Consider the following 12,015-nt stretch of genomic DNA (forward strand, 5'->3'; position numbering starts at 1 on the left):
CTGTGTTAGCCAGGATGGTCTCGATTTCCTGACCTCATGATCCACCCGCCTCGGCCTCCCAAAGTGCTGTGATTACAGGCGTGAGCCACCGCGCCCAGCCCAGATTCTTTTTTTAAAAAGCTTCCCAGGTGATTCTAACGTGACTGCTCAGTTAAGAACCACTGCCTCAGAAGAACACGGGACCAAGGAAACCCAAGAAATTATTTCACACTCTACAATTACATTGATATTTAAGAGACAATAAAAACTTTCTTTACTTTCTAGATTGTATAACTCTGGATTAGTTCAAACTAAGTAAGATAGAACAACTTTATACTAGTCTCTATAAATAAACAATTCCGTAAGAGTGTTCAAAGTATGGAAATTATGTTGACTACATTAAATGAACAAATATAAACAACTGTAATTCTAATTGTAACCTTAAAATATTGGCCAGATTAAGAAACAAAAGTGCTCCATGGCCAGGCATGGTGGCTCGCTCCCAGCACTTTGGGAGGCCGAGGCAGGTGGATTACCTGAGGTCGGGAGTTCGAGACCAGCCTGACCAACATGAAGAAACCCCGTCTCTACTAAAAATACAAAATTAGCCAGGTGTGGTGGCACATACCTATAATCCCGGCTACTCGGGAGGCTGAGGCGGGAGAATCGCTTGAACCCAGGAGGCAGAGGTTGTGGTGAGCTGAGATTGTGTCATTGCACTCCAGTCTGGGCAACAAGAGTGAAACTCCATCTCAAAAAAAAAAAGAAAAAGAAAAAAAAGAATCAAAAGTGCTCCTAAACTGGCAGGATGGGCATGGGTGGGGGGGTGGAGGAACACACTATTTTCAGACTTCTTTTCAAATAGTATTTAGGAAAAAGAAATATTTACTCTCTTACTCCATTACACCTAGATTGGATTTCATAACACCTAAAAATGATACAGAAATTCTAAATCTGAAAATACTGTTTGAGGTAAAATCTGCTGTAATTCCAGACATCTGCTTATTAAGATCTACTGAGAATGTTAGCAAAGAGGGTATGGAGGGGGTAGATGAAACAGGAAGAGTAGTTATGCTCTAGAAACCTTTAATGGAACTGGGAAACGTTAGTTTGGGGCCTCCTGCCTGTTGGCAGACATAGCCAACCTCCAAGCACCTCTAATTCCCATCTAACCAACATTACATTGTAGGATGCCTGATAAAGCCAAGCACACAAGAATACTAACAACAGTAAGCACAAATTGTTAATAGACCTTTAAAAAAAATCAGAACCCGGAGAAAGAAAGGAAAAGATTCCTCTCAGTCCATTAAAGACAAACCAAATTTCTAAAAGAAAAAATAAGGTACTCAAAGGACAGGAGAAAGATGGAAAATTATAATGCTAGTACAGACCTAGAATACAGTACAGGCAAGAGTAACTAAAACTTCTGGATACAAGTAAACCAATACTTCTTTCGCAATGGAAGTATACTCCCATGAACACACTACTCAAGTGGGCTAATAAAAACCTTTGCTTAAAGTGCTTGGAGATTTCAGAAAAAATAAAACATCCATGCATGACTGATTTGTAACCAGAGAAGAAATGAATTAGAAAAATATAAAAAATAACTGAACACTCTAAGCACTTTTTCTCCCAATAAAGCAAAAAAAAAAAAAAAAAAAAAAGAGAGAGAGAGAGAAAGAAAATTCCTGCTAGCAAAGGGAAAGCAGAACGGTAAATAAATGCCTATAATCCCAGCACTTTAGGAGGCCGAGGAGGGTGGATCACCTGAGGTCAGAGTTCAAGACCAGCCTGGCCAATATGGTGAAACCGTCTCTACTAAAAATACAAAAATTAGTTGGGCGTGGTGGCAGACGTCTGTAATCCCAGCTACTTGGGAGGCTGAGGCAGAAGAATTGCCAATAAGGGGGAAAAACTCAAATGTCCATGGATAGTCAAATGGATAAAGAAAACATGGACCAGGCACAGTGGCTCACACCTATAATCCCAGCACTTTGGGAGGCCAAGGTGGGCGGATCACTTGAGGTCAGGAGTTCAAGACCCGCCTGGCCAACATGGCGAAACCCTGTCTCTACTAAAAATACAAAAATTAGCCAGGTGTGGTGGCAGGCGCCTGTAATCCCAGCTACTCGGGAGGCTGAAGCCAGAGAATCGCTTGAATGCAGGAGGCGGAGGCTGCAGTGAGCTGAAATTACACCACTGCACTCCAGCCTGGGTGACAGAGGTAGACTCTGTCTCAAAAAACAAACAAACAAAAAAAACCCCAGAAGTATAAAAAAATTTAATCAATAATCCTGAAACTGATGTTTGTTACAAACACTTTCTTCTTCCTCCTCTATCCCTAAGCAGGTTCAAGTAGCAATATCTTTCCTTTTTAGGGAGAATACTATTCTGGTTATTTTCAAAACCTATTATTATAATAAATACTATATGCGAGGCCTTGTGCTAAGTGCTCTATATACACTATCTCTTAAAATCGTCACTGTGATGACTAATGTATTATTTTCATTTCCATTTTACAAATGAGGAAAAATCCTAAGCTTAGGACACACAATCAGCAAATGGTATAAAGTGGAGATAAAAAGCCAGGTCTGTCTCCATAGCCTGTGCTAATAAACTGGAGCAATATTTTCTTAGCTTTCTCTTCTTAAAAGACTGAAGTTCACATGCTATTTGGAATAAATACACAGAAAAGGGGCACAGGAAGTGGTGCAGAAAGAAGCACTTTATAACTTATCAAGATAAGAGCACCTGCACTGCTTTTTTAAAACAAGGAAAAACCCTGCAATAATATAAAACCCCCAACTCTTTTCTGGCCCTGTTATTGCTAAAATGGACAAGTTGGTCAGGCACCACCTACGGACCATAGCAAATAAATCACTTTGGTTCAGTGGTGGGGAGGACATTATGCAACACTTCCCAGCACAGCCCTGGCCAGGATATTTTACGGCCAAGGCACCTCCTCCCCAGCTAGACAGCCTGGCTCCTTCACATTCCCCTCAGGAGATAGGGTGGAAGCTCACAGCTCCACTTTGTAAGGCATAGAGGGCAGCTGAAAGTCCTGCTTGGCCTCTCTGGGCAACCACAGGCGCCAATAAATCAGCCACAGGCGATTCTCTCATTCCCTTCCCGGCTGAAACAGGAGCAAGATATAATGCAAAACAGCACTGATTGGACTTGAGAGATAAGCGATCTAGGCTTAAATTCTACTGCGAATGACTGTATTACCACAGCCCAGGTAATGAGCCTGTTTCCTCAGGCTTGTAACATGAAGACAGTACCATCTCCTTTTTGGTAAAGACACAAAGTTCATCTACGAAAGCAGCTAGTATGATACTTGGCCCACTGCAAGTACTCAGTAAACAGCGGCCAACTTGAGCAGAATCCATCTCTACTACATGCAAATAAGACATTCAAGGTAGGACTGGACAAAAAAGGTGTTAGCAGGTTACGTGGGTTCCTTTCTGTTTTCTTCCTGACCACACCTTGATATTTCACTGACTGCCAGCTCTCAGAATTAATCTGTTCCATGTCATATCCCATCAGTGTTCTGTTCCCTATTAAGGAGTTGATGTCCGATAACGGATTCACGATTTACCCTTAACTAAAATATATCCAGATTGTTAAAGAAGACTTTGATGCCTTAACATAAGGAAGCAACCAATGCTGCAAATAATAGAGAACAGCAATGAAACTTTCAGGGGTGGCTGGGGGGTGTAGGCTTTTAGTTCCAAAAATACACCATAGGCGGCCTACCTCACCTAGAAATACCATCAAACCCACACAGTGGCCATGCCTGACTTCTCCATAACCTGAATCAAGCCAAGTATATATAATGACCTCCGCCGGATACATTCTCTACAGGTGAGTGGGGTAAACTGGCACTGCGGTCCTGGCATGGTGGAGAGTGCAATCACCAAGGTGTCTGGAGCCTTGGAGTCTTAGCTATCAAGAGGTGTAGCTAGCTCCAGCTACATCACGCTCTTCAGGCCTGGTGTCTTCTCTGTAAAACGAGAGGGATGAAACAGATTTTCTATAAGGCACCTCTCGGCTCTAAAATTTAAGATTCCAAAGTGTACTTTACATACATGACAGAATCTTGTGAGAGGATCAACAGCTCTGCCAGGACTTGAGTCTCAAGAGAAAGAATGCCAAATTTAATCCCTTGGGGTGATGCGGGCGCTAACTGTTGAAACATGCTAGGTGCCGTCAGGTTCCAGGTACTACGTTGTGCTATGCGCTGCCTCCGCAACTGGTAACAACTGATTACTCCAAATACTGAGTGCCAGAGAAGACGGTGATAAGATGGGTCAAGCTTCAAAAAGAAAAACCGGATATGCTTAGAACAAGATAAACATAATTTGAAGATAGAAAAGGGGGGGATGTCTTCTTGCCCTAGAAACGAGGTAATCACAAGCTGGGAGTGGAAACAGTAGCCGCAGCGTCCTCCCAGCATCTGGAAAGTCGCCCGCTCGTAAGAGGGGTCGGCGCTACCCGAGGGAGGCCGCAGGCCTACTGGGGTTTCCTGCTGGGGGTCGCACCCGGACCCGCGGCCGGGACGGCTCTGCACCTTCGCGGCACCCCGTGTGCCACCCTGAATCAGGCCCCGGCAGCCGCTCCTACGAGCAGCAAAGGGTGGTTCTGGGTATTGTCGGCCCAGCGCTCACTCGCGGATGTATTTTCCTCCTGTGCCCTGCCTGACATCTCAATCGGACCAAAAACACCCCTCTCCCCAGCTACTTGCATCTGTCCCGCGACTGGTGCAGCTGCAGGCCGCCGCCCTGGGTGGCTCGCGGCAGGAGGGACTGAGCCCGGGGCAGCCCACAGGGGCAGGACCGCGTCGCTTACCCAGATGCCGCCGCGGCGGCAGGCCGACTCCTCCGTGCAGGAGGGGCGGGCTCCCAAGCCGCGCACTGCAAGCAGTGGCGCCGGCTCACGCACCCCTCGGCCGCCTCTCGCGCGGCTTCCCGCGCCGGCAGCCCGCGATGGCCCCACGTGACCGCGTGTCTGGTAGCAGGGGAAAGAGGGGCGCCAGGGCCGGGGTGTGCGTGCGTGCGTGCGTGCGTACGTGCGCGCCCTCCCGCCCGCCCGCCTCAGTGGCCGGGCGGGGGTCGGCCCGCGCTCTGAGTGCCGCCGCCACAGTTCGCAGTTGTGACTCTGTAGGCGGAAGCATAGGGACAAGCCTGAGCGTCACAGGCTCCCCACAAACAACCGCGTGACCCGGGGACTTTCCCCAGGGTGTGCAAAAGCACAGGCACCCCCTCAGTTCTGGGGTGAAGGTGGGGGTGGGGAAGGATGCGCCCGCGTGTTCGCTGGGGAAGGGATGAGGGCGCGGGGCCAGGGAGGCCGAGCCGCGGGAGCCTGGGTGGAGAGGCGGACTGGGCGAGGTGGGGCATGGCGGGGGAAGTGACTCAGGGCCAGAGGCAGCAGGCCCACGGAAGGTGGGGTCGGGGGGGCGCGGGGACTGGGCGACCCTGAACCGACGGGGCAGGGCGAGGTTGCCGGAGCACTCGAGGCGGACCGCGAGTGACGGCCCAGCTGCTGGGCCCAACGGGCAGGGGTCTGACATCTGGACGGAGTGGGAAAGCAGCCTCGCATCCTGCCCTGGGGAGTCGGGAGGAGCCCAGTTCCATCCAGCTGTGCAAACAGGAGGAGGAGGAGGTCCCAAGCCTACCCTTGAGAGGGGCAAGAGGGGTGGTCAAGCCGCCGCCGCCGCGACGGCCCCCGCGGTGCGGGTTGCGCCAGCCTCCTCGGAGCTCGACGCAGAAACTTGTTGCAACAAACAGGCGACCGCGGGTGCCCCTAGCAGCCAGCGGCAGAGTGGGTGGGCGGGCGAGAGGGAGGGGAAGGCTGGCGGACGCCGCAGCGAACTGGTGGGCAGACCCGGAGTCGCCGCGTAAGCGGGGCCGGCTCAGTGCGGTGCGGCAGGCGCGGCTGTGCGGCAGCGGAAGTCCTTTGTTGCAGCACAGTCCCTGGCAGAGCCAGAGCCTCTCCGCGCAGCCCAGCCCGAGCGCCGAGCGCCGCGCGCCGCCGCCACTGCAGCTCGCGGCCCCTTCGCCTTCGCCCGCCTTTCCCGCGGCTGATTTGCCTTAAACTCCCTAAAATCTCCGCAGCTCTGGTTCCTGTTGCGGCCGGTAAGTATTTGCCAGTTGTGGGGCTATTTGCGCAACTTTGGCCCAGGCCGGAGGGCGACGGGCCGCGGGCCTGGCGGAGTGCGGGGCCGGAGGGGCGCCGATCCGTGCGGGGAGCCGGAGCGCGGCGGACGCGCTGCGAGGACCCGGTGACGGGCGGCTGCCAGGCCGCCTGCTTGTTGCCGGCGCGTCAGGTCCCGGGCGTGCGGCCTCCCTGAGTCGGAGGCGAAGCCCCTACGGAGACTAGTTCCCAAATTAGTTACCTTCTTTTCTTTCTTTCTCTGCCTTTATTTTTTTCGAGGGGGGAGGGGAGGTGTAGACGGGAGGCGGGAGAACCCGGTTGATTGACGTGCCTAGAGCCCGCTTCTCTCAACTTACAGCTGCGGCTCGGCGGCGGGTGGGAGGGGAAGTGTCCCGGAGCCCGAGGCTGCAGACTTGGGCGCGCTCCGAGGGAGGAGGCGTAAGATCCGTGCAAATTCTTGTTACGCTGTTTCCCACCCCCTCTCGCCGGCACACACGCTTTTTGTTCAGTAAAAAGTGGAAGGTCTGAGTTTGGGAATTTTAAGTGGAAAAGATCTGTTTCTTGGGAAGGGAGTGCTTTCGCTTGCAGCGGTGGGCGCTTACTAGAAGTTCGGTAAATGTGTTGGATGCAGATCGGGAGTCGTTACTACTAAAGTATGTAGGCAGGGTCTGAGCTCAGCCACCCCACCCAGTCTCCCTTTCTACCTAAGCAACGCGTGTACATGATCTGAAGGGTTGACATGACATTTTCTAAATTGGGCGAATCAGGAAGAGGTTGATGAAAATCCTTGACGTTTTCTGGGGATAGGACATTTGTGTGTGATAACGTTCTTAAGTCGAATTTCAGTGTGGCAGTGCACGCAGATTCTTCATTGGTGTTAGTGTATTTCCATACGGTATGTATCAGTACAAGAAATAGTGTTCCCTTTGACACTCGAACCCAAGGAGTGGTCCGAGGCTTTTTGAGGCAACGTAGGATCAATGTCTCTGAAGCAGATTTGGTGAAGGATGCAGGTCTCATAATTTACAGAGCAATCACAGCCTTCTTTGAAACGGAGAAATTAGATTCTATGAAATTTTGTCAGTGCAGATAGATATGATGTGGAGAAACGGGGAAAATTGAGTACAAAAAGATGAGGCTTGAATGATGGCTGGCCAACATTTGCTCAGAACCTCAAAACTTTGCTTTTGAATCACTTGCTGGATATCTAATAAAGTCTCAATAATAACTGGATGACTTTGGGAGCTAGAAAGGGGGTTCCTCCTCTTAAAGAAACAGGAAACTGGGCCGGGCGCAGTGGCTCACGCCTGTAATCCCAACACTTTGGGAGGCCGAGGCGGGTGGATCACCCGAGGTCAGGAGTTCGAGACCAGCCTGGCCAACATGGCGAAACCCCATCTCTACTAAAAGTACAAAAATTAGCCTGGCGTGGTGGCGGGCGCCTGTAATCCCAGCTACTCAGGAGGCTGAGGCAGGAGAATCGCTTGAACCTGGGAGGCGGAGGTTGCAGTGAGCCGAAATGGCGCCACTGCACTCCAGCCTGGGCAACAAGAGCGAGACTCTGTCTCAAAAAAACAAACAACAACAACAACAAAAACAGGAAACTGAAGCATAGTAGAGGTGAAATGCTTTTCCAAAGGTTAATAAACATAACGTCTACAGTAGAGTCTTCAGTTAACCTCTTACATTCGTTTTATGAGCAAGCAGGCTTTCTCCATTAATACCACATTTTCATGGTATTGAATAACTCAGGTTGAACAGTCTTTCCTGAAGCCTTTCTATTCTTCCCACTCCTAATACGATGGCCTACTTTTTTGGGGTTTTTGTGGGGAAGGGACTGGTGTATCATTGTCAGAGAAAAGAGAAACCATATTTAACCAGGGCCTTAGCAGGGCATGAGCACAGTCACAGCCACTTGCTCTTGACCTTGTGCTTTGATTTCAGTTTAACACTTCTAAATTTTTGTACTGCTTCCTCATTCTCCTCTTTTGCCAGGCTCTGGGGAAGATATAGTTCATCGACCTTTTTAAGAGTATCTCGTTTTCTTTGTAGCATCATTTCCCTTTCTAATGTGCAGGAGAAAAGAAGTACCTGCTTTCAGACTTGCCCTCTAGCCAGGAAAAGCACTAAGCCTTTGGTGCAAAGGAGAGGAAACTATTTGGTATAGAAATACAGAAAAATTTCCATAGATTTTTGTTAATAAGCTGCAATCTGTTGTCTTCCCAAAAAAAATGAGGTATATTTGAGAAACATCTTCTTGAGAGGTCACTTTGGTCTCTATAGAATGTTTTCTCCTGACATTTTCTTCTGTGCTAGTATCTCATGCTAAAATGGTGAAATTATTTTTTCTCATATTCTTATGTGAACCAAATTAAGGGTTACTCGTGTCTATTTTTTCTCAAAATGGAAATGTTTTTTATTATAAAATCCATGCTCTTTGAAAAATTCAGCCTGTATTGAAGTACATAAAATACAAAAATGAAAGTCATTTTGACTCCCACTCCCCAGAGATAATCACCATGTACAGTTAATTCCTTGTTTAAAACGAGAGAAGGCAACATTTGATCACAGCTGTGTGTGCCTCACTCTGCCTGGGGATGGCCTGTGGTGATTCATGGACTCATGTTCTCTGTTCACATTACTCAGGTTGGTAAGAATTGCCAGGTAGAGGAAAGGGGAGTGTTTTGCATTGGGCTGATTTAAAATTATTTGATTAACTGGGCTGCTATTTTAGGTTTGTCCTTATTAAATACTTACTGTATCATGGTGGGCTATTTTTCATACTTTGTTCATGTTAATGTTGTTGCCCAGCCTCTGATGGATTGATTTACAGCAGCCAAACACATGAAAACAAAAGCAAACCCTCACCTTTATAGAGAGTTTCATAATTTATAATTAGGAAGGAGTGGGTATACTTGCCATGAAGACCACTGCCAATATATCCCTGTGCTGATATGGGATGGGGTTCCTCTTGATCAGCACCAAAGATTGCATGCTGAACATATGGAAAGGAAATTGGACGAAAGAAGGGTCAATGACCGCTGTTTTCAGATGTGGCATGGAAGAGACTGATACTGGGGAGGAAGCGGCAGGGTCTCACTCCTTAGCCATGTGTATTTAAGAAGAATGAACTGTGAAGAAGTTGATGATGATCTAAAAACAGAGCCCCAAAATAGTACATAGAAAGTTAATTACAACATTGGTTATTTGAGAGTGTTGGGGACGTGGGTGGTTTTTATACTACTCTGTCTTTGAATTTAAAATAGTTTTCAAAATAAAATTTGAAGATTAAAGAATTAACCAGATTTTCTTTTGTCTATATGAGATGCATGCAGTCGTTTTTAGAGATGAGTTCCATCCCCACTTTGAATCTGAAGTATTAGAAGAGGCATGCTCTGGTGGACAGTGGGGAGTTAGCAGATGGAAGGGGATTTAGGGAAGGGACTGGACATTCTTCCTGCAAGATGGAGCAGTAAGAGAATGATGAGAGCTTTTAGATTCATGAAAAAGGTGACTCTAGGAGGCTTAGAATGTTCCAAAGGGGCACTTCAGCTAATAGTCATATTCAGAAGAGTGTTGTCTGGTTTACACAAACTGAAACTTAGGGCTTTGAATCAAGAGTCTCAGCTTCTACTTACAAGATAAGCAGTTTTGGGGAAGTCAGCCACTGAACCTGTTTCTTCATTTGCAAAATGAGGATAATAAAAATACCTATCTCAGGGTGGTTGTGAGATCAGTTGTATAATGTATGGGAAAATGCTTTAAATTTTAATTTTAATTTTAATTTCCAACCACTATATAAAAGTTGCCATGATTGAAATAAACAAAAAATTGATAAGCAAAATAAAACTTACCTGTTTAAACATTTATTCATTCAAAAACTCATCAAGTATCAACTAAATGTCAGACATTCAGTAATGACTGAGATACTGCCCTGATGTCAAGGAGCTTGCAGTAAAGCAGGGGAGCCAAATAATTGCAATATCTGCCTTAAGTGTGGTAACAGAGCATCACAGTTGGGATGATGCATTATTGGTACCATATTGTTGTATGTATAGGCTGTTTTGGCAGCACAGAAGAGGCATCTGCCTCACCCTAAGATCAGAAAAAACTTCCCAAAGAGGCCAGGCACAATGTCTCTCACCTGTAATCCCAGCACCTTGGGAGGCCTAGGCAGGCGGATTGTTTGATCTCAGGAGTTTGAGACCAGCCTGGCCAACATGGCGAAACCCTGTCTCTACAAACAATACAAAAGTTAGCTGGGCGTGGTGCCGCATGCCTGTAGTCCCAGCTATTCGAGAGACTGAGGTGGGAGGAACGCTTGAGCCTGGAAGGGCGGAGGTTGCAGTGAGCCGAAATTGCCCCATTGCACTCCAGCCTGGATGACAGAGCCAGACCCTGTCTCAAAAAAAAGAAAAGAAAAAAGAAGTCCCAAACAGAGTGAGCTAGACATTGAAAAGGTTCTAAGCAAAGGAACAGCATGTGTGAAATGGCAAGGCTTTTGGTGTGTTAGGTTATTTGGGATCGGGGGAATCTTAAAGCTTAAAAATGGAGTTAAGTTTCTTAGAATGAACATGCATTTTATGATTTTTTAAAATTGGTTTCATTTTGTTGAATTTCAATTATATGATTGTGATGTTTTCAGGATTTTGGTTTGAATTAAACAAAACTGGAGCCACAAAATTGGAAACAATACAATTTTTTTTAAAATGTGTAGGATCTGGCCGGGTGTGTGGTGGCTCACGCTTGTAATCCCAGCACTTTGGGAGGCCAAGGCAGGCGGATCACGAGGTCAGGAGATTGAGACCATCCTGGCTAACATGGTGAAACCCCGTCTCTACTAAAAATACAAAAAAAAAAAATTGGCCGGGCGTGGTGGTGGGCGCCTGTAGTCCCAGCTACTCTGGAGGCTGAGGCAGGAGAATGGCGTGAACCTGGGAGGCGGAGCTTGCAGTGAGCCGAGATTGTGCCACTGCACTCCAGCCTGGGTGACAGAGCGAGACTCCGTCTCAATTAAAAAAAAAAAAAAAAGTGTAGGATCTGCTCAAAGAAGGAAACTGGGTAATCCCTCCCATCATCATAGAGCTGTCTCACCAGTTATTCATTCAGTAACACTTACTGAATACTTAATATTCCAGAGAAATGAAAAAGCCAAAGTCCTCGCCTTAAAGTTGCTCACAATCTCATGGGGGAGACCAACACATAATTATAACCAATTCTTATTTAGCACTTACTCCATGAGAGATATACTTAACAATAATTCTTCAGAGGTAGAAAGGATTACCATCCCTTCTTAGAGAATTGAAGCACAAATTGACTAAGCAACCTTCTCAAGGTCACACACTTAATAAGTGGCAGAGCCAGAATTTAAACCCAGGCAGTCTGGTTAGTTTGTGCTTTAACACCTACTTTATGTAGCTGTTCTGATTATTAAAATACAGTGTAAAAAGTGCAAAATAAAGAGGTAATACACAATGAGATCAAAACCTAAAATAGTGGGAGAGGAAGGTGTTACAGAGGCTTTCTGCAGGAGGTGATAAACTGATTTTTAAATGATATCTGGGAGGTTCAGACCCAAAGAACCAATCGGCATGAGTAAAACTGCAGGGGAAGTAAGAAATTTATGAAGTATACTGGATGTGTGTGGAGGAGGGTGAAGGTGGTGATGAGCAGTTTTATGTTGCTTGAACATGAAGTTTGAAGCAGGCAGTAACTAAACATGTAAGACTAGATGGGTGGGCATGGAGGGCTTTGTATGCCTCAATAATGATTTTATACTTTAGTCTGAAGATATGTGAGGGGAACCATGGTAGAATAGTGTGATATGATTTTTCTTCTTCATGAATCATCTTCAAAACAGCATTGCTCTGGGAAGAAAAAGAT

At 46.9% G+C, this 12,015-nt stretch overlaps 2 protein-coding genes across 38 annotated transcripts in view, besides 7 other annotated features; one reads left to right on the forward strand and one right to left on the reverse strand.

The window, feature by feature from the left end:
- Nucleotides 1-6,380, reverse strand: part of ZBTB25 (zinc finger and BTB domain containing 25) — a 56,108-nt gene extending 49,728 nt beyond the window's left edge. For 2 of the 10 annotated variants that reach the window (NM_001354685.2, XM_047431770.1), the window contains exons 1-2: nt 4,828-5,005; nt 4,068-4,294 (exon numbers count right to left, since the gene is read on the reverse strand). Coding sequence is in view for 2 of the 10 variants with exons in the window: in XM_047431770.1 (XP_047287726.1) it covers nt 4,068-4,177 (110 nt within the window). In the remaining 8 variants the exon portion in view is untranslated. Of the gene's footprint in view, nt 1-607; nt 1,621-3,735; nt 3,983-4,067; nt 4,295-4,723; nt 5,132-5,653 lie in introns of those variants that run through there. The other 8 variants (NM_001354684.2, NM_001354683.2, NM_001354686.2 and 5 more) reach the window with 7 other exon arrangements.
- Nucleotides 4,137-4,256: an enhancer, noted in NCBI's record as "active region_8533". NCBI's record gives its function as "activates an Ori minimal core promoter by ATAC-STARR-seq in GM12878 lymphoblastoid cells {active_cell/tissue: GM12878}" and the evidence as "EXISTENCE:reporter gene assay evidence [ECO:0000049][PMID:35858748]".
- Nucleotides 4,317-4,416: an enhancer, noted in NCBI's record as "active region_8534". NCBI's record gives its function as "activates an Ori minimal core promoter by ATAC-STARR-seq in GM12878 lymphoblastoid cells {active_cell/tissue: GM12878}" and the evidence as "EXISTENCE:reporter gene assay evidence [ECO:0000049][PMID:35858748]".
- Nucleotides 4,737-5,166: a silencer, noted in NCBI's record as "silent region_5835". NCBI's record gives its function as "represses an Ori minimal core promoter by ATAC-STARR-seq in GM12878 lymphoblastoid cells {active_cell/tissue: GM12878}" and the evidence as "EXISTENCE:reporter gene assay evidence [ECO:0000049][PMID:35858748]".
- Nucleotides 4,883-12,015, forward strand: part of ZBTB1 (zinc finger and BTB domain containing 1) — a 29,978-nt gene continuing 22,845 nt past the window's right edge. For 7 of the 28 annotated variants that reach the window (XM_047431108.1, XM_047431110.1, NM_014950.3 and 4 more), the window contains exon 1: nt 5,937-6,113. The gene's annotated coding sequence lies outside the window, so the exon portion shown is untranslated. Of the gene's footprint in view, nt 5,259-5,936; nt 7,028-12,015 lie in introns of those variants that run through there. The other 21 variants (XM_047431107.1, XM_047431092.1, NM_001438534.1 and 18 more) reach the window with 7 other exon arrangements.
- Nucleotides 5,187-5,276: an enhancer, noted in NCBI's record as "active region_8535". NCBI's record gives its function as "activates an Ori minimal core promoter by ATAC-STARR-seq in GM12878 lymphoblastoid cells {active_cell/tissue: GM12878}" and the evidence as "EXISTENCE:reporter gene assay evidence [ECO:0000049][PMID:35858748]".
- Nucleotides 5,377-6,047: an enhancer, noted in NCBI's record as "NANOG-H3K27ac-H3K4me1 hESC enhancer chr14:64970928-64971598 (GRCh37/hg19 assembly coordinates)". NCBI's record gives its function as "activates a minimal SCP1, AML or CMV promoter by ChIP-STARR-seq in primed H9 embryonic stem cells {active_cell/tissue: H9 hESC(primed)}" and the evidence as "EXISTENCE:reporter gene assay evidence [ECO:0000049][PMID:30033119]".
- Nucleotides 5,767-6,026: a silencer, noted in NCBI's record as "silent region_5836". NCBI's record gives its function as "represses an Ori minimal core promoter by ATAC-STARR-seq in GM12878 lymphoblastoid cells {active_cell/tissue: GM12878}" and the evidence as "EXISTENCE:reporter gene assay evidence [ECO:0000049][PMID:35858748]".
- Nucleotides 6,137-6,246: a silencer, noted in NCBI's record as "silent region_5837". NCBI's record gives its function as "represses an Ori minimal core promoter by ATAC-STARR-seq in GM12878 lymphoblastoid cells {active_cell/tissue: GM12878}" and the evidence as "EXISTENCE:reporter gene assay evidence [ECO:0000049][PMID:35858748]".

This window comes from Homo sapiens, chromosome 14, assembly GCF_000001405.40.
Source record: "Homo sapiens chromosome 14, GRCh38.p14 Primary Assembly".
Classification (NCBI taxonomy): domain Eukaryota; kingdom Metazoa; phylum Chordata; class Mammalia; order Primates; family Hominidae; genus Homo; species Homo sapiens.